This window comes from Homo sapiens, chromosome 22, assembly GCF_000001405.40.
Source record: "Homo sapiens chromosome 22, GRCh38.p14 Primary Assembly".
Taxonomy (NCBI): Eukaryota; Metazoa; Chordata; class Mammalia; order Primates; family Hominidae; genus Homo; species Homo sapiens.
Genome location: NC_000022.11, coordinates 22,301,362 through 22,324,454, shown reverse-complemented (window position 1 = coordinate 22,324,454; position 23,093 = coordinate 22,301,362). Strand labels below are relative to the sequence as shown.

Here is a 23,093-nt window from a genome sequence, read left to right as displayed (position 1 = left end):
GACACTGGTGCTGAATCTGACCACTCTCTCCCGGTGACTAGAGCTGGTCCCATGGCCTTCACACTGCCTACCTCCTTGTCCATCTTCTCTGAAGCATCTGGAGTTTTCCTCACAAACTTACCTCAGACTGTCTCCTCCTTGTCCAGCCCTCTAGTGGCTCCTCTACCCTCCCCCATGCAAGCTCTCCTCCCCTCACTGTGCGATGCCACCTTATCACATCAATATTCTAACTTGATTCTCTTTTCCACGAGATGGTGCCAGCTAGAATATTCTAGGCTTATCTATCAGCCTTCATCCATTTTGGTATCAGTGCTGGGTTCGGCTACGAGGGCAAAAATCTTAGATGTCAGAGTCTGGGAGCTCAGTACAATCAAATTCCCTTGAAAGCCCCCAGTTCTATTGGCCTGAGAGTGAGGCTCAGCCTCCCCTCAATGCCTGAGTGGGCAATAATCCTCTACGAATTCTTATCTGAGGAAAGGAACCTCTTCAAAGCCTTTTTTTTTTTTTTTTAGCCTATTCTTACCCAAACTGGAACACACGAAGAAATGAGTAGATGGCTCAGGAGATCTGGTCCACCATCTGGGCCTCAGTTTATGCCACCCGTCCTCACTTCAGTAAGAGGGTCCTCACTATTTTCTGGTCCCAGACACCTCCACCACCTCCCTCCACCATCTGGGGGGACTGGCTGGCTCCGCTGCCTGGTATAATGCCTGGGCCTCCCCTCGTCCTTGGTGGCTGCCTCCTTGGTGTTTCTGTAGAAAGAGAAAGCCAGGGGAGGCTGGGAAAGGGGAGAGAGGGGAGCCCTGAGTAGATTCCTGATTTCTAACTCTTTCTTCTCCTCACTGGGGCGCTAAGAGGTGAGGAGCAGTTTGCAAGGGGTGGGGTTGGTGCCCTCTAACCCAGTCCTGGGCACACAGAAATAACTGTTTCTACAGATTCAGAGACAGCCCTTACAGAGTTTGGAAACAATGCCTGGGATGGAGGCCCTGGGCTGAGCAAGGTCCTCAAGTAGCCCTGAGCCCTCACCTGGCCATAGCTACAGTGAGGAGAGTGATGGGAGGAGGGTGAGGGAAGGAGTCCAGGTCTTGGGGAGCACCTCTGCTCCCTCAGGTCTCTAGTGAAGCTCAAAGGCCCACACCCCCTCCCCCACTCCCTCCCTCCCCACACCATGGGCAGGCACAGGAAGGACTGTGAAGACACAGCTGGACCTGCCACCTCAGCCCAGGATGTCAGTGCAGAGACCCTGTGTCCCAAGCTGCAGGAGCAGGATATTCTCATTCCTGGAGTCCCTGTTCCTGACTCTGAGGACAAAAGTGGTGGAGCCTCCACTCCTAGGCAGGGCCCTGGCTGCCCCGTGGCCCATGGGAGAACCTGCAGCAGCAGAAGCTACAGGTCAGGCGTGAGCAGCAGCTGGCGGCACTCACCCTCCTGGGGGAGGAAGAAGGGGGTTCTTGTCTCAGTTCCCCATTGGGCTGGAGCACTGTGCCAGCACTCAGGCTGCTATCCCATGTTCCGCAGTAATAATCGGCCTCGTCCCCAGTCTGGAGTCCGGTGATGCCCAGGGTGGCTGACGTGCCAGACTTGGAGCCAGAGAATCGGTCAGGAATCCCTGAGGGTCGCTTATTATTGTCATAAATGAGGAGTTTGGGGGCTGTTCCTGGGAGCTGCTGGTACCAGGATACATAATTATTCCCAATGTTGGAGCTGCTTCCAGAGCAGGAGATGGTGACCTTCTGTCCTGGGGCCGCAGACACTGAGGGCGGCTGCGTCAACACAGACTGGGCCCAGGACCCTGGAAGCAGGAGAGACACAGACACGGTGATTCTTGGTCTAGAGAGAGAAGGAGAAAGCAGGGCCTCATGGGCTTCCTGGACCCCTCCCCTGACCCTGTGTCTGGGCACCTGTGCAGTGAATGAGAAGGGTGAGGAGGAGAGGGGAGCAGGTCATGATGAAGATTGTCCCGAGTCCTGCCTTCTGCGCTCACAGCTGAAGCAGAGCTTCCCCAAGTCTCTCCCTGCCCCTCTTTATACTCTGAGAGAAGGAGGGTCCATCCATGCAAATCAGACCCTCCAGCTTTCTGATCCCACCCTGGGCCCTGGGTCAAGCTCCTCTGCCTGAGGATGTCAGAGAGTGCCAGGGGTGGGGCTGTGTGGTCCCAGGGGGTGGAGAGTTGACATCTGTGAGCCCTAAGCATAGGGCACCAAGCAGGACAGGTGGCGCTGGTCCTGCTCTCATCACACCCAGTCTTCTCAGGAATGGTGCGCAGGCGCCCCCTAGTGTCCATGGTGCGACATTGTACACCACCATTGTATGACAAGGTGACCAGAGCCTCTCAGAGACACCCCTGCCTCCCCGTTGTTCTGTCCATGGCCCCCTCCATCAGGGCCAGGCCAGGCAGCCCCCTGAGTCTTTTCTTCGTGACCTCAGGGCAGACTTCACATTCTACTGGGTTCCTCAGGGGTGAATCTGTCCATGTCTCCTTGGCTGTTCACTGTATAGGACTCAGGTGGTGACTACACAAAGTCCTGTTATGGCAGAATGAAATCGAGAGCACTGACCAGCCCCATGGACTCATTTCCTCACCTGTGGGGACACCGGGTCCTCTCTTGTCGTGTGGCTGCTCCCTGGTGGCCAGAGCTGTCCTTCCTCTGTGGATTCTGCAGTGCTGGGTCAATAGGGAGCTCTTCCCTCCAGGATGGCTGGGGCACATTCTCAGAGGGTTATGCTGGTAAATCTTTGTTCTGTCTCTTCTTTTCCAGACTTGCAGTCATAGTCATCTGGATCCTGTGACCAGGGATCTCACCTAGGAGTCTGTTCTCCATCACTGAATGCCAGTCTGCAGGAGATCCTGGCGAATGACTTTGCAGTGTTTTGCTAAAGAGCAAAACAAGCAAATATGCTCCGTATTTGAAGATGGAAGAATTAAAACTTTAGCTTGTTTAGACCACAGTCTGCACTCAGGTGAGCCTGACACATGGTAGCTTTTAGGATCAACCATTCCAACTAGGATGTTTAGGAAATAATACTGTTCAAAATCACTAATGAGTGTTTTCAGCATGTCCTAAAGATGAGAGAAATTATTCATCTTTGATGTGTAATGAAACCTAGAAGATGATACATTAAAAACAATAAACTGAAGAAAAAAGATAACCGTATTTATTAAAATGAAACAAATTATGTGTATGACTGCAAGAGTTCTGGCATGATGCATCTTGGACTCAACAAATCTTTGTTTGGGGAATCCCATGTGGTTGGAGAACAGCAGGATAGTTATTTACTCTGGTGAGTCTGTCACCAGGCAGTTGTAGTACCATGAGGTTTTACATGCACCATTTAAACAATGTACTAGGCCGGGCACTGTGGCTCACGCCTGTCATCCCAGCACTTTGGGAGGCTGAAGTGAGTGGATCACTTGAGGTTGGGAGTTTGAGACCAGCCAGGTCAACATGATGAAACCCCATCTTGGGCCGGGTGCAGTGGCTCACACCTGTAATCCCAGCACTTTGGGAGGCCAAGGCGGGTGGATCACGAGGTCAAGAGATCAAGACCATTCTGGCCAACATGTTGAAACCCCATCTCCACTAAAAAATACAAAAAATTAGCCGGGCATGGCGGCGGGTGCCTGTAGTCCCAGCTACTTGGGAGGCTGAGGCAGGAGAAGGGCATGAACCCAGAAGACAGAGCTTGCAGTGAGCCGAGATCATGCCACTGCACTCCAGCTTGGGCAACAGAGCGAGACTCCATCTCAAAAAAAAAAGAATGGTCTCTTTACGCAAGAATGATGGATGTGGATTTTGTGTTTAAGTCTTGAAAAAAGAGTCAGTGACCTCGAAATCTCTTGAAAGAATATGCAGAAAGCTTCCTGTGCACTCTCCTAGAGTCACCTAGTTCCTGAATTTTGAGAAGCAAGTGATAGGTCACTCGGGCCTTCAATGGGGAAAGTGATGTTCAGAACCATGTCACCTCAGGTGTACACTGCAGGTGACAACACAGTCTCAACCCAGCCATCCCCCATCCCACACCAGCTGCAGCAACATTCTCTACACTCTCACATAAAAAGGGTTATCTGGGGCCAGGCACGGTGGCTCATGCCTGTAATCCCAGCAGTTTGAGAGGCCAAGGTGGGCGGATCACAAGGTCAAGAGATCAAGACCAAACACGGTGAAACCCCGTTGCCACAAGGAAAAAAAAAAATTAGCCGGGCATGGTGGCACATGCCTGTAGTCCCAGCTACTAGGGAGGCTGAGGCAGGAGAATCACTTCAACCGGGAGGCAGAGGTTGCAGTGAGCCAAGATCGCGCCACTGCACTGCATCCTGGGCGACAGAGCGAGACTCCTGCTCAAAAAAAAAAAAAAAAAAAAGGGTTATCTGGGCTGGGCGCATTGGCTCACGCCAGTAATCCCAGCACTTCAGGAGGCCGAGGCGGGCAGATCACCGGAGATCAGGTGTTCGAGACCAGCCTGACCAACATGGAGAAACCCCATCTCTACTAAAAATACAAAAATTAGCCAGGCGTGGTGGCACATGCCTGTAATCCCAGCTACTCGGGAGGCTGAGGCAGGAGAATCGCTTGAACCCAGGAGGTGGAGGTTGTGGTGAGCCGAGATCCAAGATCATGCCATTGCACTCCAGCCTGGGCAACAAGAGTGAAACTCTGCCTCAAAAAAAAAAAAAAAAAAAAAGGATTATCTGTGCATTTACTCAGGTCTTCTTTAAGACCTGTGTCTAAACAATGTTTTAGGACTTCTAGTGTGTAAAACAACAATTTTTGTCATACTTATCCTAAAGTATTTCATGCTTTATGCTATTCTCAATGTATTGACTTTTCAATTACTGATGGTTCGTTACTGACAAAGAGAATACAATTCCCATCTGCATCCCTGTATTGTATCCCAAGGCTCATATTAAAACTCTCAGACCAGCAGCATCTCTGAGTCACTTCTAGACTCTGAGCTGAGATGAACCCCAACCCAGCCCTCTTGCCTTCTTCAATGTCAACACTGAGAGATTTTACCCCTGAGCAAGGGATGTCTGCCTGTGAAATGCGAGCAAGGTAGGACTTTGTTAGACCTACTTCTCCGTGGGAGCTCCAGTGCTGTCGATGAGACAACAGATGTCACCCCCTGAGCTAGATTTGGTCAGAGCCACCAGCAGGGGTGATTTCACTAGACCAGGAGAGTAGAGGGGAGGGTTTTGTCTTACTTCCTCATGGGTCTGGAGCACTGTGTGAGTCTTAGAGTTGCTGTGCCATGTACCACAGTAATAGTCAGCCTCATCCTCAGGCTGGAGCCCAGAGATACGCAGAATCCCTGCATTGGCTGATGCATCGTTGGATCCAGAGAAGCGGCTGGGAACTCCAGAGCCTTGGCCCTTATTGGAGTCTGAGTGGTAGTACAGGAGATACCGGGGAGGGTTCCCTGGCTTTTGTTGGTACCACCTTATCCAGAAGTCCCCAACACTGAAGCCACTGCTCAGCATGCAGGTGAGTCTGACTGATGCTCCAGAAGATGCAGAATGGGAAGATGGCTGAGTCAGCACAGGCTGGGAGAGGGAACCTGAAAACACAGACATCATGGGTGATAAGGCAGTTCCCAGGGTAAAGCTTCTTGTAGGTCTGAGCCACAGGGGATGGTGTAGGTTGGACACTGAGACTCAGTTTATAAGGACTTTCCCTACCTGTGCAGTGAGAGAGGAGCACGAGAAGGAGAAGAGTCCAGGCCATGGTGGACACAGCCCCTGAGCCCTAACAGTGGGCCTGAGCTGCCCCAGGTCTCCTCTTCTTCTCCATCCTCTGCCAGAGGAGGGGCTGCTCATGCAAATATGTTTCCATCCAAGGACTGCCCAGCCCCTCCCTGAGCCCTGGAGCTGAAGCTTAGCTCACACTCCAGACTGAGGAGGAGGAAGGTTTGGTTTCCCCCTCGGGAGGGCCCTGGGAGGAAGCACCTGCCGAGACCATACACAGGTCTCTGCTTAGGGGACTCTGCCAGGCCAGAGAGGACACAGCTCCTGAGTCCCCATCATTGAGCACAGGGCACAGGTTCCTTGGAGTGAATGGTTCTTACTAAGCAGCTGTGTAGGGACCATAGGGCAGTCCTGCAGCATCCCCTGATGGTTGCAAGGCACACACCTCCTGATATAGTGTGGATGTGTGTCCTCTCTCAATCTCCTGTTGAAACGTAATCCCCAATGTTGCATGTGGCACCTGGTGGGAGGTGGTTGGGTCATTGAAGCGGATTCCGCGAGGCTTGGTGCTGTCCTCATGACAGTGAGTGAGTTCTTGCAAGATCTGATTGTTTAGATGTGTGGAACCTCCTGCCTTACTCTCTTTCTTGCTCCCACCCTGCCATGAGAGATGTCTGCTCCCACTTCATGTTCCACCAAGTAAAATCCCCTTGAGGTGTCCTCAGAAGCCAAGCAAATGGAGGCACCATGACTCTTGTACAGCCTGCAGAACCATAAGCCAATTCAACCTCTTTTGTTTGTAAATTTCCCAACAAATTTCTTTGTAGCAATGCAACAATGTCCTAACACAGATAATTGGTAAATAAAGTATGGCTAAAAGATACCTGATAGTACAAAAGCAGCTGTGGAACTCAGTCATGGCCAGAGGTTGGAAGGGTTTGGGGGGCTCAGGAGAAGACAGTGTGAAAGGAAAACAAATCTTGGGACCCCACTCAACCTGGGAACTGCTTAGAGCAAACCTGCCTCCCAGTCTATTGAAAGTCTCCCCTCTGCTCACTGAGAGAAACACATATCTGATTGCCTCCTTTTGGAGAGGCTCATCAGAAGCTCAAAAGAATGCAACCATGTGTCTCTTATCTATCTAAGACTGGAAGCCCCTTCCCCACTTCAAGTTGTCCTGCCTTCACCTGGAGCTGTTCCACCTTTCCAGACTGAACTGATGTACATCTTACACATGTTGATTGATGTCTCATGTCTGCCTAAAATGCATAAAACCAAGCGGTACCCCTACCATCTTGGACACATGTCATCAGGATCTCCTGAGGCTGTGTCACAGATGTGCCTCCTCAACCTTGGCAAAATAAGCTTTCTGAGTTAACTGAGACTTGTGTCCAATTTTGGGGGTTCACAACAGGAAGATTAGAAAATGCTTCAGACTTTATAGAGACTGGTTAAATGGTTGTGATCAAAATGCTGATGGTGTTAGGAACAATGAAGCATAGGCTGTCAACATCTCAGACGGAAAGTGAGTAACTTATTGGGAACTGGGGCAAGTATCTCCCATGTTATGCCTTAGGAAAGAGTTTGGCTGAATTCTATTCATGTTCTAGGAATCTGTGGAAGTTGGAACTTCAGAACAATCATTTAGAGTATCTGGCAGAAGAAATTTCTAGGCAGAAAGAGTTCAAGAGGTGGCCTGGCTGTGTCTACAGCCTATACTCAGATGTGAGATCAAAGAAATGACTTTAATTTGGAATTTATATTTAAAAGGAAAGCAGAGCATAGAAGATTGAAAAATTTTCAGCTTGACTATGTGGCAGAAAATAACATCCCCTCTTCCTGAAAAGAATCCAAGTGGGCTGCGAAACAATCACTTGCTAGAGGTATTTGCGTAACTAAAGAGGAGCCAAGTGTTGATAGCCAAGACAATGGGAAAAAGACCTCAAAGGCATTTCAGATATCTCTGAGGCAGCCTCTCACATTACAGGTCCTGAGGCCTAGGTGAACTGAATGGCTTGCTGGGTCTGGCCTAGGGCCCCACAGTCCTGTGCAACCTCATGGCTGATTCAGCTCCAGCCTTGGCTCAAGAGGCTCCAGATAATGCTATGCCACAGTTTTGGGGAGCAAAAGCCATGTTAAGCCTTGGAAGCTTCCATGTGGTGTTAAACCTGCAGGAGTACAGAATGCAAGAGTGCTGGAGCCTCAACAACCTCCACCTAGATTTCAGAGGATGTATGGAAAAGCCTGGGTGCTAAGGCAGAAGCCTGTTGTGGGGGCAGAACCCTCCCACAGAACCTCTACTAGGTCAGTGTGGAGGGGAAATGTGGGGTTGGAGGCCCCAGACCGAGTCCCCACTGGGGCACTGCCTAGTGGAGGTGTGGGAAGGAGGTCACTGTCCTCTGTATTCCAGAATGGTAGATCTACTGGCAGATTGTATCCTACACCTGGAAAAGCTGCAGGCACTTAACAGCCTATGAGAGTAGCCACAGGGGCCGAACCCTGCGTAGCCAAATGGGTAGAACTGCCCTCAGCCTTGGTAGCTTGCCCTTTACATCAGTGTGCCCTGGATGTGGGAGACGGAGTCAAAAAAAGATTATTTTGGAGCTTTAACATTTAATGAATGCCCTGCGGGGTTTCAAACTTCCATGACATCTGTAGCCCTTTTTTTATGGCAGTTTTTTCTCTCTTGGAATGGGAATATTTACCCAATGTCTGTACTACCAGTGTATTTTGGAAGTAAATAACTTGTTTTTTATTTTACTGGCCTATAGGTGAAAGGGACTTGCCTTAACTCAAATGAGACTCTGAACTGTGGACTTCGACTGAGTTGATGCTGGAATGAGTTAAGAGTTTTGGGGATTGTTAGGAAGACATTATTGTATTTTGCCATGTGAGAAGAACATGAGACTTTAGAGACCAGGGGAATAATGGTATAGTTTGGATGCTAAACTAAATCTCATGTTGAAATGTAATTCACAAGGTTGGAAGTGGGACCTTGTGGGAGGTACTTGGGTCATGAGAGAGTATCCTTCTTGGGTTGGTTTTCACCTTATGATAGTGAGTTTTCATGGGATTTGGTTGTTCAAATTTGTGACACCTTTCCTACCCACTCTCTATCCTGCTCCTGTTCTGCCATGTGAGATGCCTGCTCCTACTTCATCTTCTGCCGTGAGTAAAAACTCCTTGAGGCATCCCAGAAAAGGAGCAGATGCCAGCACCAAGCTTCCTGTACAGCCCACAGAACTGTGAGTCAATTCAACATTTCTTTGTAAATTTCTTTGTAAATCATCCAGTCTCAGAGATTTCTTTATAGTAATTCAAGAATGGCCTTACACACCTCCCCATGGTGCAGAGACCTGAGAGCCCAGCTGTCTTGTTTGCCAGGCATTGTCTTGGTTCACACATAGAGGATCTGACTTCTAGACACATTGATGATATTATGGTGTGTAGATTATGGTGGAATTTCTCACTGCTAGATGGAGTGCAGATCTAGGTGAGGTGCTTACATGCATGGTAATAATGACTTAGGGGGTTAGCATCCCCAGAGAAGATGTTGCAAACATCACATTTCTTCACTGATATATGATTTAGAATATACACACAGTGTTAGTGTCTCATCTCTTTTGTTCTAAGCAATACACTCCAACTACTCCATACTGAAGCAGAGCACAGGTGCCCTGGAGTCTCCACCCCACCCAGGGATCCTCCAGCAGAAGTGCGTGTGCCCCTGCATACCTGCAAGTCCCATATCCAGACCTAGTGTTCAGGGCCGTGGGATAACAGCCAAAAATAGGAAATCATTTTACTCATCAATGGAAAAATGGTGACACAGTCATATAATGGAACTCAACAATGACGATAAATCAATGTCTGCCATAGACAAGAACATGGATGTGTTCTGTAATACTGAACCAAAGAAGCCAGGCTAAACAGAATGTGCTGTATTTTATAGAAGTCAAAACCAGGCAGAACAAATCTACATCAGGAACTGGGAAAGTAGCTATTCTGTGGGTTGGGGCAGCAGTGCCTGGGAGAGGCCACAGGGCGAGGCTACTGCTTGGTCCAGGGCGTGGCAGCCTGGTGTGCTACAGTTCATCTAGATGCACACTTATGATTCGGGCACTCTTCTGTGTGGACATTAACATTTCAATAAAAAGCTTATTAAAACATTAAAACTTTCAGAAAAATCCACATTGCTTCAGTAGAAATTAGCACATTAACGTTTAAAAAATACATGTATACGGTGGGGGAAAAAATAGTTCAAAAGAGTACCCAGTGAAAAGTTTAAGAGGGAGTGATGCCAGCAAGGGGCTGATCAATAGCCCCTTGCACTCATCCCCTGACAAAGACAGCCAAAGCAGCAAACATCTATATTTTGATGAAAGTCACTAAAAGAGAGCCCCAGAGTGCATCAAGGAGTAGCAGAAATCCAGCAGAGCACAGAAAACCAGGACGGTCACATAAAGGAGGGAAGGAAACATCTGGCCCCCACCACCCATTCCCCCAGAGGGATCAGCCTGAAGCAGAGGGGATGTCTCCCTGCAGGGATAAGGAAGCAAGAGGGGCCCAGTAGCCCCAGCACTCCCCTCAGAGAAGGAACTGACATTGTGCCCCACCCCCATGGACCAGCTGCTGCTGCAACGTGCCCTCCTGGACCTGGACCACTTCGGGAGCATGTCCCACCCAGGGTGAGCTGCCACCGCACCCTTCTTCCATCCTCAGGCTTTGTTGCTCTATATCACACCCACCTAGTGGCCCACCACCCCCGAGCCGCTGTTACACTGTCTTAGGCCATTTAGTGTGGCTGTAACAGAATACTTGAGACTCGGGGTAACTTATTTTATAAAAAAGGTTTATTTGGCTCACCCTGCTTGTGTCTGAAAAGTCCGAGATTGGGCAGCACAACTGGCGAGGGTCTTGTGCTGCTTCATCTCATAGGGAAAGTGGAAGGGGAAACAGGTGTATGCAAGGGGCTCACATGGCAAGAGAGGAAACACGAGAGTCTAGGAAGCTGAACTCACTCTGATAACAATCCACTCCTGGTAACTAATCCAGTCCCATGAAAAGGCATTAATCTATTCATAAAGGATCTGCCCTGTGACCCAAATACCTCCCACTAGGCCCCACCTCCCACACCACCACATTTGGAATCAAATTTCAAATGGATGAAATTTCAAATGGCTGGTGGGAACAAATGATGTCCACATCACAGCATACACCCCACCTGCAGGGCCACGCTGCTGTGCCCCTCCCCTCCCAGCTGCCATTGCGCCCTGCCCCTTGGAGCCTGAGCTGACTTGGTGCCCTGCTTTCCAGGGAATCAGTGCCTTAGCCAGTCTGAGCAGTCACACCCCCCACTGCATGAGAGCTGAAGCGCTGCCCTGCTTCACAGGGAATCAGTGTCTTGGCTGAGCTGAGCAGCCACACCTGCCAGGGATGAGCCAACATGGCACCCCCATATCCCAGGAAAACGGCATTGGCTGAACTGGGGTACCTTGCCCTTCAGGACAAACAACTGTAGAACCCTGCTTCCTTGGAACTGGACTAGCTCTGGAGAATCTGAGTTGCCCAGGCACCTGCCTCCCCAGGGAGAGAAGTAGTTGCTGCACTGGTCCCTGCCCCCGAGGGCCCAAGCCACAGTAGTGCTCCACCATTCTGGGGTCCTTGCTGATGCTGCGCCTGGCCTCACAGAGACAGAGATGCTGCTGTGTCCCACCACTGCAGGGTCCAGAGTCACTATCATGTCACTCCCATGTCCAGAGTCACTCCCATCCCCTGGGAGTTTACTTCTTAAACTCTTCGAAAAAACAGAGCGAGAGGAAATAATTCCAAACACATTTTACCAGGCCAGTATCACCTTAATACCTAAGCCAAACCAAAACACACACACACACACACACACACACACACACACACACACACACACCAAACAAACAAAAACTACAGGTCAACTTCTCCAATAAATTAAACACTGATGCAAACATCCTAAAAAAATTTTAGCAAATAGAATTCAACAACATATCAAAAACATTATACATCGTGTTTAAGTGGGATTTATCCCTGGCATGCAAGGCTGATTTAAAATATGTAAATCAATCAATGGGATATATCACATTAACAAAATGAAAGATAAAACGATATGGTCACCTCAATTGATGCAGTAAAAGCATTTAACAAAGTTCAGCAACGTTTCTTGATAAAACTCTTAATAGTTTATGTATAGAAGGAAAGTTCCTCAACACAATAAAGACCATTTATGAAAAACCCACAGTCTAATCATAGTTAGTGGGGAACAACTAAAGCTTTTCCACTAAGATTGAGTACAAGATAGGGATGGCCAGCCTCATCACTTTTATTCAATAGAATACTTGCAAGAGCAATCAGATGAGGAAAAAAAGGCAACTAAATTAAATAAGTAAAATTATCTCTATTTGCAGATGACAAGATCCTTTACGTAAAAAAACTCCAAAGATTCCACAAAAAACTGTGAGAACTACTAAATCAATTCAGTTAAGCTGCAAGGTATAAACTCAACATATAAAAATCAGTTGCATTTCTATATACAAATAACGTAGCTGACGAAGCAATCAAGAAAATAATCTCATTTACGATAGCATCAAAGAAAAACAAAAACTTAGGAATAAATTTAACCAAGAAGGTGAGAGATGTGTACACTTGAAAACCATAAAACATTGATGAAAGAAATTTAGACATGAACGAATGAAAAGACATCCCGTGTTTATGGATCAGGAGAATTAATATTGTTAAAATGTTCACGCTACCCAAAGCAAATATACAGATTTAACACAATCCTCATCAAAGTTCTGATGGCATTCTTCACAGAACCGAATAAAACAATCCTGGCCAGGCACAGTGGCTCACGCCTGTAATTCCAGCACTTTGGGAGACCGCAGCGGGCGGATCACGAGGTCAGGAGTTGGAGACCAGCCCGGCCAACAGAGTGAAACCCTGTCTCTACTAAAACTACAAAAATTGGCCGGGCATAGTGGCATGTGCCTGTAGTCCCAGCTACCTGGGAGGCTGAGGCAGAAGAATTGCTTGAATCCAGGAGGCAGAGGTTTCCGTGAGCCGAGATTATGCCACTGCACTCCAGCTTGGGCGACAGAGTGAGACTTCGCCTCAAAAAAAAAAAAAAGAAAAGAAAAAACAATCCTGAAACTCTTATGGAACCACAAAAAATCCCAAACAGCCAACGGATTACTGTGAAAGAAAAAGTTGGAGGCATCACACCTCTTGATTTAAAATTGTATTACAAAGCTATAGTAATCAAAACAGTATGGTGCTGGCATAAAAACAAAAAAATAGACCAATGGAACAGAACAGAGACCTTTGAAATAAATCCAAACATATACTGTCAACTAATTTTTGACAAGGGCAAACAAGACAACACAATGGTAAAAAAGATAGTCTCTTCAATAATAGGATTTTCACATGCAAAAGAATAAAATTGGACCCTGATCATACACCATACACAAAAATCAACTCAAAACAGATACAAGACCAAAGACCCAAATAAGACCTGAAACCATAAAACTCCTAGAAGAAAACATAGGGGGAAAGCCTCTTGACATTGGCCTTAGCAATAATTTTTTGGATATCGCACCACAAGCCAGGCTACAAATGTAAACATAAACAAGGAGGACTGCATCAAACTAAAAAGCCTCTGCACAGCAAAGGAACAACCAACAAAATGAAAGGGGAACCAACAGACTGGAAGAAATATTTGCAAACCACATATGTGATAAAGTGTTAATATCCAAAAATCAGTAAAGAACTCTTACAACTTAATAGCAGAAAAACAACCCAGTTGAAAAATGGGCCAAATAGGAAATGACCAATAGGAAATGGGGAGATGTACATTAAAATAATACAAAGTAGCAGACATGTAGGATGAACAAGTTAGAGATCTAGTGTACATCATGAGGGCTATAGTTAATAAAAATATATTGTCTTTGGGATTTTTGTTAAATAAGTAGATTTTAGCTGTTCCTGTCACACAAACAAAAATCTAACTATGTGAGATGGTAGCTATGTTAATCTGCTTCACTATAGTAACCAGTTTACTATCTATATGTATCCTTTAAGATCATGTTGTCAACCTCAAATATATAAAATAAAATTTATTTTAAAAAAGAAAAGTTTGTCTTCAATCCAGAAAGAACCACTATTACCATTTTTTGGTGTTCCACTCCAAAATATCCCACAAACATACAATTGTTCAATCAAATTTAATGTTAGACTTTATACTTGAACATTCAAAGTACGTAAGAAATTATAGAAAAGTGTCTGTGTGACTCCCTGTCTGTAGAGCACAGGCTTCATCTCCACTAACACACACACGACCAGTACCTTATACAGAGAGTCCTTGTTTGCCTTTAGTCTGACACCATGGGCAAGCCTGAGTTGGCCCGTGGTCCGCGTTCCTGACCAGGTGTCTTTCTCACCCACTGGTTTCAACAAAGATGTTACTGGGTTATAGAAGGCTGGGATGGAAACAGGATACCAAGTTTGCATGAAGACAATATCTGAAAAGAGGTAATTTACTTTAACATTTTCAAAAGAAGATTCATATCCATATTGCGAAGAAACAAAGAACAAAACCTTCACTCCAAACTTCTCTACCTGGCTGCAAAGTATTTGAAGGGAAAGGTCGCTAAGGGAACTATTCTCATAGATCACAGAACTGTTACTGGGTGTGGCCAGGGGGCTGCAGACACAAGGCGAATGGGCATACCGCATAAGACTGGGAGATCTAAGGCTGGAGCTGCTCAACTCTCCGGAGACCTGACTCCAGCCTCTCGTCACACTGGCTAGAAGTCAAGCATGAATGGTAACACCCTGCCCTGAACACTACTTAAGACACTCACCGCTCATCAGCAGCTTATCCTCAAAGCTGGCCCGGAAAGCTCCTTCTGGAGCTCAGAGTGCTTTCTTGATCTGCCCCCTTATCCCACTGACAGTTCGAATCACAGCACCTTCAAATTTGGCCACTTCCAAGGCTGAATTAAACATTCCCTACAGGTACAGCAAGATAAAAACACACACACACACACAAAATCATATACTTTATGCTTTACTTCTTACTTCAAACATACATCCTTGATTAAAGAACAAAAACAACTCACTGAAGGGTGATAAAATAATCAAAATGTATTTGCCCCTGAAAGTGGAATTACTACCTCAAAAAGAATACAACTCTTTCATTTTCCCCAAAATAATCATGTGAGTTCATGGGCATGCTCATCACTGCTGTCTGTGTGGAAGAGAAGATCGAAGAGGGATTTACTGGACTGAACTGGCCTAGGAAGCCTTTGCTGGCATCTCTCAGACTGGACTGCAGCCCAGATCCTTTTACTCAGATGCATGCACTTAGAACATGAAAACAGTAAGATAAACGCTGGTGGTATTATTACCTTATATTGCAGGAACATTTTATGACTTCCTAACTCTGTTTTCAATAGAAACATCCCCACTAATGAAATTGTCAATAAATGCTGCTCAAACCACCCTCCCCAAATACTGAAAAACAGTACATCCGTTTCTCTGTACCCTTGCCAAGTTGTCTGCAAATGCTTTGTCGATTTTTCTACTGAGTTAGACAAACTTGTGATTTTTTTCCCTTTCTTAACACAAATTTAAAAAGTAGGAAACAAAACCTAGTGGATAAAATGACATATTTTCAATATGAGTTCTGTGGCAGTCTCACATGGAAGTCAGGAGTAACAGCCTCAATTCCTAAATAGCTGTTTACCACTGCTTTTCTGAGCATATTTAAGTAATACAGAATATAAAGGAGCAAACAAAATATGAAGTTTATAAAAGATTTCAAACACTTTTCTAAAAATATGAGGCCCATATTTTAGAGGTATTTCATTCCTTTTCTCAAACAATATGGAGATTTATAAATATGAGAATATATAGATATACAGACCTTAATAAATGAAGTGTTCTTAAAAATTTTATATGGAAAACCAGTTAGCTTTAATTTCTTCACAATTTTTATGGATTTATCCAGATCAAGGACAACTCCTGTGGCAGCTATCCGAAAATCAGGCTAACAGGAACCCCAAAATTTGAAAATAGGAATAATATTAGCAAGAGAAAAACTTCAATTCTATGTGACACAATAAATTACCAAAGTGAATTTTACTTACAATTAGCTAAGAAAAACAAGAAAGACCATCTGAACTTGCAACCCAGTGGCTTGACAAAAGCAATCCAAAACTTTAAAGTTGGTAAGCCAAACTAACAAGGGTGACTTGAGGCTGGGCACAGTGGCTCATACCTGTAATCCCAGCACTTTGGGAGGCCAAGGCAGGTAGATCACCTGAGGTCAGAAGTTTGAAACCAGTCTGGCCAACATGGGGAAATCCTGTCTCTACTAAAAATACAAAAATTGGCTCGGCATGATGGTGCACACCTGTAATCCCAGCTACTCGGGAGGCTGAGGCAGGAGAACCGCTTAAACCCAGGAGGCAGAGGTTGCAGCGAGCCAAGATTGTGCCACTGCACTCCAGCCTGGACGACAGAGTGCAACTCTGTCTCAAAAAAAAAAAAAAAAAAGAAAGAAAAAAAAAAGGCTACTTGAGTACTTTCCTGAGAGTGATTTCAGAGGAATGTAATTTTACTATAATGATTTATTTGGAACGAAATGGAAAAGAAAAATACAGTTGCAATGTTTAGGAAATTAAAATTTGGACCTCCAGGGAAGATTCCATCTGCTCATTATTCTGCTTTCTTCTCTGTTAAATGGGACCAGTAAACCCTGCCCTGCCTGACTGGTCAAATGAAAATGGAGTGAACAGACTGCTACCCCAGCACAGCTGCAGGGAGTCTTGTGTCTGGGTGGTCTCTGATGGCTCCTCACAACCTCATACAGTGCTTAGCACATGGTGAGCACTGCTTAAGTACTTGCTTAGATAAATAAATGCAAAAGATGCACAAAAATAGGAAATGTACCATTATAATTCTTCCACCTCCCCTCCTCTAATCCCACACCCTACTGAAAAGGATGTACGAAGATTAAAAGCAAAGGGAAATTTACTTTATATTAATAAAAATGAGTAATTTTCAACTTAAAGTCTCATGTACATAGTAATCCACATTCAGGATATATTTCTCAAAACCAATCTGTAAAAGAAATCATCCAAGATAGTTACCATTATGCCACTGACAGACTGTATTGCCAAGAAACCAGTTCCCTGTGGAGTGATAGGGTCTTAAAGGAAAAGGAAAAAAAGAAATATAGCAAACCACAAATTTTAGATTCTAGTTTAACATACTGGATATGGACATTTAGATTTGGATATAGATTTACGTATATACTCCAAACCACCTCCCTGCTCCCAGAAAAGAGAAAAATCTTAGGAGTGGAATTTTATGAAAGGAAAAGCACAAAGCTAAAATAACGCAGCCTGTAAGGTTTAATCTCAGCAATAGGCAAGTTATTGTAATCATATTTTATCCCAAAAGGCTGCTCCGCGATGCACATGCTGTGGGGTATACTTTAGAAGCCTTTGTCTTCCATTGTGGTCTTCGATATAACAGAGCGGGATGGTCTGAAACCTCCTCCACCCTACAGAAAATATGATTGGATCTCGGGACTTGAGGATTTTCTTATACCAGCGATGTTTCTTCAGACGCATCTGAGGGGGATGAGAGGGTAAGATGATTGATGGAGGGGAAATCCACAGAGCCTCAGGCACCAAATATGCAGCAAAGGGACCCACCTGCACGTATCCAACATTTCCCTCGCTGTTGCCCAAGCCACCCAGGATAATGGGGTAACGGGGGTCAAAGTTCTACACAAATTCACAGGGAACATTTTCAATCTCAACGCAGACGTACATCCCAGGTCGAAAACCCTCATACTGAACTCTGGCTTCATCATCTTGATCTTCAAATTCTGCATGATTCAGCTGTACATGACGGGGTCGGGGGGGGAAACCTGTATGCTGTTATCTGTAATAAACATAGCATTAACATGAACAAATGAGCAATTTCTAAGTAAAGGAACTGTGGACAGAATTATGTAGGCTTTATCCTATTAAAAATACTACATATTTGGCCAGGTACAGTGGCTCATGCCTGTAATCCCAGCACTTTGGGAGGCCAAGGCGGGCAGATCACATGAGGTCAGGAGTTTGAAACCAGCCTCGCCAACATGGTGAAACCCTGGCTCTACTAAAAATACCAAAATCAGCTGGGTGTGGTGGTGCGTGCCTGTAGTCCCAACTACTCAGGAGGCAGAGGTGAGAGAATCGCTTGAACCTGGGAGATGGAGGTTGCAGTGAGTCAAGATCGTGCCACTGCACTCCAGCCTGGGCAATAGAGCGAGATTCCATCTCAAAAAACAAAAAAAAACTACGTATTTTACCTCTACAGTCTGCTCAGAATATGTCCCAACCGTTTTCTTCTCTCCTGCTCCAAGGGACAGCAAATGTAGATAACTGTGGAGCCCTGCGTGCTCGAACATTGGAAACATCCCCAGTCCACATCTTCTTTCCTTCCTCTCCAAACAATTCTTTCACACTTTTCCCTTGTCTTCAAACACCCACCACCACCCTCACCTTCACTCAGCTGATGGCTGTTTCCTGATTCACTCCAAAACCAAAAGAACCTCTACAGTCAACCCTCTACCAGGGTTTCCTCCCATATCCAGCCTTATCAGAGCTCTGACCTGGCCTATAGAGGAGCTACGTGTGGCTATTTAAATTAAAATTAATTACAATTACATAATATTTAAAATGCAGTTCCTCAATCACACTAGTCACACTGGAAGTGGTCCATATCAACCTGCGGCCAATGTTACAATATTGGGAAGCACAGACGTGCATCTCCATGATCACAGAAAGTTCTAAGGGCAGCTCAGGCACAGATGATTTGTACGTGCCTCTACTCAGGGCCACACATCACTTGCTCACTAGACACCATCCACTCTTCCTGGACTTTATTCCAACAGCTCTTCCCTCTGTTCTCTATCTCAAAACCTTTTGATTCCATTTCTTCCACCAACAACTGCTTCATTTCTCTGCTTCTCTCTGCAGCAAAACCCCACAAAAGTTTTCCGCAGTTGCAGCCTCCAGTTCCTCTGCTCCCATTCTCCTACATCCACGAAAATTGGTGCTTGCCAAGATCGCTGAAGGCCTCCACGCTGAAGGACTCCTCCAGTGGTCAACTCTGCCTTTACCGTAGTTAACACTGCAGCGGGATCTGAACAGTGCTTCGCCTCCGTGTACAACTGGACTCCTGCGTGCCTGCATGCTCACACTGCTTCTCCCTCTCCCTCCTAGGCACTGCTCAGGCCTCACGGCCGCAATCGCCCCATCTCGCCCATGCCAGTCTTGCTCCTCCCAGTCACTCTGCACTCACTCCCCGGCCACCTCACAGAGTTAAGTGGCATCTACATGCTGAGGGCTGTACATCTAAGTCCCTGGCCAGACCTGTCTCTCCAGACTTGACACTCCGCTTGTCTGCATGATACCCAGCCGAACCAAACATCATCTTCCCAAAACTGCATCTGCAGACGGTTTCCTATCTAACCTGCAACAACCCACCCTTCCAGGAACTTCCAGTCGCCACCCTCATTTCCTCTTACACACCCCACATTCAGTCCACCAGGAAATCCTACTGACCCAGCTTCCAAATAAACTCAATCCGGGTTTGACTCTGTCTCATCTCCACTGCCAGCCCTCTGGTTTGTGCCACTGGACTGATCTCTTGGCAGAGTGATCTGATTACCTGAATGTCTCTTCTCTGGTCAAAACCCTCCAAGGACTCCCATTTCAGAGTGAAACATTCAGTCTTTTCCAATGGCCCACAAGGCTCTAGGTAATTTTAAATTGTAAATGGTGTGAAGCAACAACTTCAGAGTTAGCCTAGTCATGCCTTTCAAAGGTCAACACAGACTAGCAACCACTAAGCTAATGCCTAATCAGGAAACAGTCCTTTGACTAGATGAAGACGTAGGATGAAACTCCGTTTCACAAATCATATACCTAATCTGTTCCAGCTTACACAGGCACTCCTGGCCTCACTAACAAGACGCAACTCAGATGCTCACCATCAACTGTACATACGTTTCTGTGTCTGTCTCCTTCAGAGTGAGATCACCGCCTCCAGCAACCTGCTCAGCACCCCTGGGCAGGAGGGCCACACCATCTCCCTTATCTCCGCATCTGACCTTATACTCCACATGTCCTTCTGAACTCTGACCAGGATGTTTTCAGAGCACTTCCCCTGGGAGCTCTGGTGTGTCCATAAGCCACACGGGCCACTGATCACCTGCCATTCAAATCAGGGAGCAGCGATCGGAATAGGCAGCATTGGCTTGCACTGAAATGAACACACTATCTCAGATCGCTACATTGTAAAAGTCTCAAAAGTAGAGACCATGTCTCAGTCATTTCGGTTTCCTAATTCTTGTTACAAAATAGGTATGGATCTTTTTCTGGTGACCTTCTGACTGTAGAAACAATGAGCTCACTGCATGAATAAACACACTCACATGCATCTACCCAGGAGTCCAAGTGAAAGGCACAGAAGCAGGATAGGAAGCAGGGACCCAAAGAAAGTCAGGGATTCCTACACTATGTGATAGTCTTGACAAGGGGCTGAGAGGAACTGAGGTTTCTCACCTGTGCTTGTTTCTGCATTTCTCCTTTAAGATCATCAAAATATGTGCTTTCTCCTTCATCATATTCCACATCAAACATCTCCTTCAATTTTCTCTTCTTATCCAAATGCTTTTTCTTGGCACTTTCTTCTTCGTCAGGGTCAATTTCTTCCTTGTTTCTCTACATCTTCATTCTTAAATTTCCAGAAGAAAAAATTTTGTGTATGTTTATGAAGGTCTTTTCTTTAAACATTAGATTTTTTAAAGTTCTATTTAAACAAAAATCTTAGCAAAAATCTGTTATCATTATCAATAAAACAAAACAAAACACAACATAACCTTTGTCTCTGAATAACATGGTACTGCTACAGGAAATTGTTACATCTGCATTACAACTAGCTGCTATTCCTTAAGCTGGCTGGGAACACAAACTAGAATAAAAATAACAGACATGTCCCTCACCCAGATGCTCCCAGACCCTGTTCTAAAGAAATATTAGGGAGAACAGGGATTTCATTCTTTTAAATGACACTTAAATTTAAAAAGAGGAGAATGATGGCAATGGTTGAATGTAAGTCTGAGAAGCTAAGACTTCTGTGAGTGAAAAATCACAGTGGACTTGGCAAATGACTATGGCAAGAAACGGTAGTAACTGTAGTCCAAAACTTAACAAGTAAATAAGAAAGCTTCTCTTTGGTCCCCACATCCCCACACTTTAGGAAGGAATCTATCCATCCAGTCTGCAATCTTCACACATCACAAGTAAGATTTGCATTTCTCAATGCGGGCCTCTCTCAGAACACAATGACCAAGAACAGCCAGCTACGACAAAGTCATACCTGAGTATCGGGGCCCGATTTTCCCTTGTGCACGTCCCCTGTTTCCAAGTCTTCAAAGTCACCGTAGAGCTCCTCTGGGAAAAGAACACCCAAAGGCTGCTCTGTCAGCCCGGCATGCATGTGCTGCTGGCCCCACCCACGACAGGCCCACAATGCGCTCCGTGTTCCAAGTCTGATTCTCACTGTTCCCATCACTAGAAACACAGGCAAAACTTTGCACTAGGGAATGCTTCGTAAAACAGTTAGTATTTCATCATCTGTTTAGGTAAACTAAATGGACCCAATCCACATTTCCGCACTTCATGTCAAAATCCCAATCTCAATTTTTCTAGTATAGATAATGGACACTCTTTTGTTTTTGTTTTTTTTTTTTTTGGAGACGGAGTCTCACTCTGTCACTCAAGCTGGAGTGCAGTGGCACGATCTCAGCTCACTGCAACCTCTGCCTCCCAGGTTCAAGCAATTCTACTGCCTCAGTCTCCCGAGCAGCTGGGATTATAGGCACCCGCCACCAGGCCTGGCTAATTTTTGTATTTTTAGTAGAGATGGGATTTCACCATATTGGCCAGGCTGGTCTCGAACTCCTGACCTCGTGATCTGCCCTCCTCAGCCTCCCAAAGTGCTGGGATTACAGGCATGAGACACTGCAACCGGCCAATGGACACTCTTTATGAAAGACACAGAGGTCTATCTGTGTCCCCCAAACGAATAATTCAAAGAGTGAATGGAAAAGTCCCACGCTGATAACCAGCACATGTGAAAAGGAGTCTCAATGTAAGTTCAACACAACACAATCGTGTAACACACCTAGGGGAAATTTTAGATTATATAAAACATAGCATTTAGATTAAGAGTAGAGTCCCAAACCACACCAAACCCATGGGAAGAGCTTATTCACTCATTCATTTCTTCATTTGTTTTTGGAGCTCTGGGCTCAATTATAGTTCCCACTCTTAAAAGAAACAGACAAGTAAGGCTGGGTGCAGTGGCCCACACCTGTAAACCCAGCACTTTGGGGGCCCAGGAGGCAGAGGTTGCAGTGAGCCATAATTGCGTCACTGAACTCCAGCCTGGGTGACAGAGTGAGACCCTGTCTCAAAAAAAGGAAAACAAAAGAAAGAGGCAAATTAAAACTCATTTGAGAGAACAATGTTTAGAAGGCTATTAAAACATTTTCACGTAAGGGCCAAAGAACCAGGTAGACGTTATAAAAGATAGGAAGCTCCTATTTGCAATAAAAGCAAAAAAGGATAAAATAGGAATAAACCTAACAAGAAGTGCACCGGAACTTTATTTTTTTAAAAAAGAAGAAAAGCTTTAATAGGCTACCAAAGGACAAAAGGAATAGCATCACTACCAACACTCGTAAGTGCTCTCCACACCAGGCACTGTGTTAAGTACTTTCCTTGCCTTAACCACATTCTTCAACCCAAGGAAGTAGGTGTTGTAAATATTATATACTGAATAATGATATGTCCTCATTTGAAAAGAAAGACCCGACATCACAAATACGCCAATTCTCCCTTTAGCACAGTTACAACCCGAAACCACCACTAAGGATTTCTGGTCTAGAGAAGATAACACATTATACCCTCCTAAGAAATGTAACCCAAACTCTAGAAATAATAGACAGGAGAGGATCAATGGAGAATTCCAAAAGGTGGACAGAAAAAGGCTGCTGAGGGACTCTAGGACTAGGGAATGCATAGTGGCCAGGTGTCTCCCTGGACCTCATCCAATAGGAAGGTGACCCAGGCCCAGAGTTTCCCAACTCCCAACGTAGCAATAGAAGGCAACCCAGGCAGACTCAGTCCCCGCAGATCAAAGGAGATCTTCCCCACAACAAGAAAACCAGCTCCACACACCAAGACAACCACCATTCCCCACCCACCTAGCTGCAGCAGGTGGCCCAGCCTAGGGCGGCTCCCCTGTTCCC

The 23,093-nt window shown here is 45.7% G+C and overlaps 1 pseudogene, 2 gene segments (V, D, J or C) and 1 further gene; all 4 read right to left on the bottom strand.

The window, feature by feature from the left end:
• Nucleotides 1–23,093, bottom strand: part of IGL (immunoglobulin lambda locus) — an 896,838-nt gene that overhangs the window by 598,459 nt on the left and 275,286 nt on the right.
• IGLV1-51 (immunoglobulin lambda variable 1-51) lies at nucleotides 1,486–1,947 on the bottom strand. The segment is given in 2 exon segments: nucleotides 1,486–1,792; nucleotides 1,902–1,947. Coding segments are annotated over 2 exon segments (353 nt in total).
• BMS1P20 (BMS1 pseudogene 20) overlaps nucleotides 1,487–23,093 on the bottom strand; it is a 24,871-nt pseudogene continuing 3,264 nt past the window's right edge. The window contains 10 exon segments of the transcript NR_027293.2: nucleotides 1,487–1,792; nucleotides 2,584–2,874; nucleotides 5,204–5,556; nucleotides 14,054–14,229; nucleotides 14,572–14,719; nucleotides 15,636–15,758; nucleotides 17,210–17,349; nucleotides 17,552–17,665; nucleotides 20,341–20,512; nucleotides 21,158–21,231. The product of NR_027293.2 is annotated as a BMS1 pseudogene 20 (transcript).
• On the bottom strand, nucleotides 5,229–5,789 carry IGLV5-52 (immunoglobulin lambda variable 5-52). The segment is given in 2 exon segments: nucleotides 5,229–5,556; nucleotides 5,750–5,789. Coding segments are annotated over 2 exon segments (368 nt in total).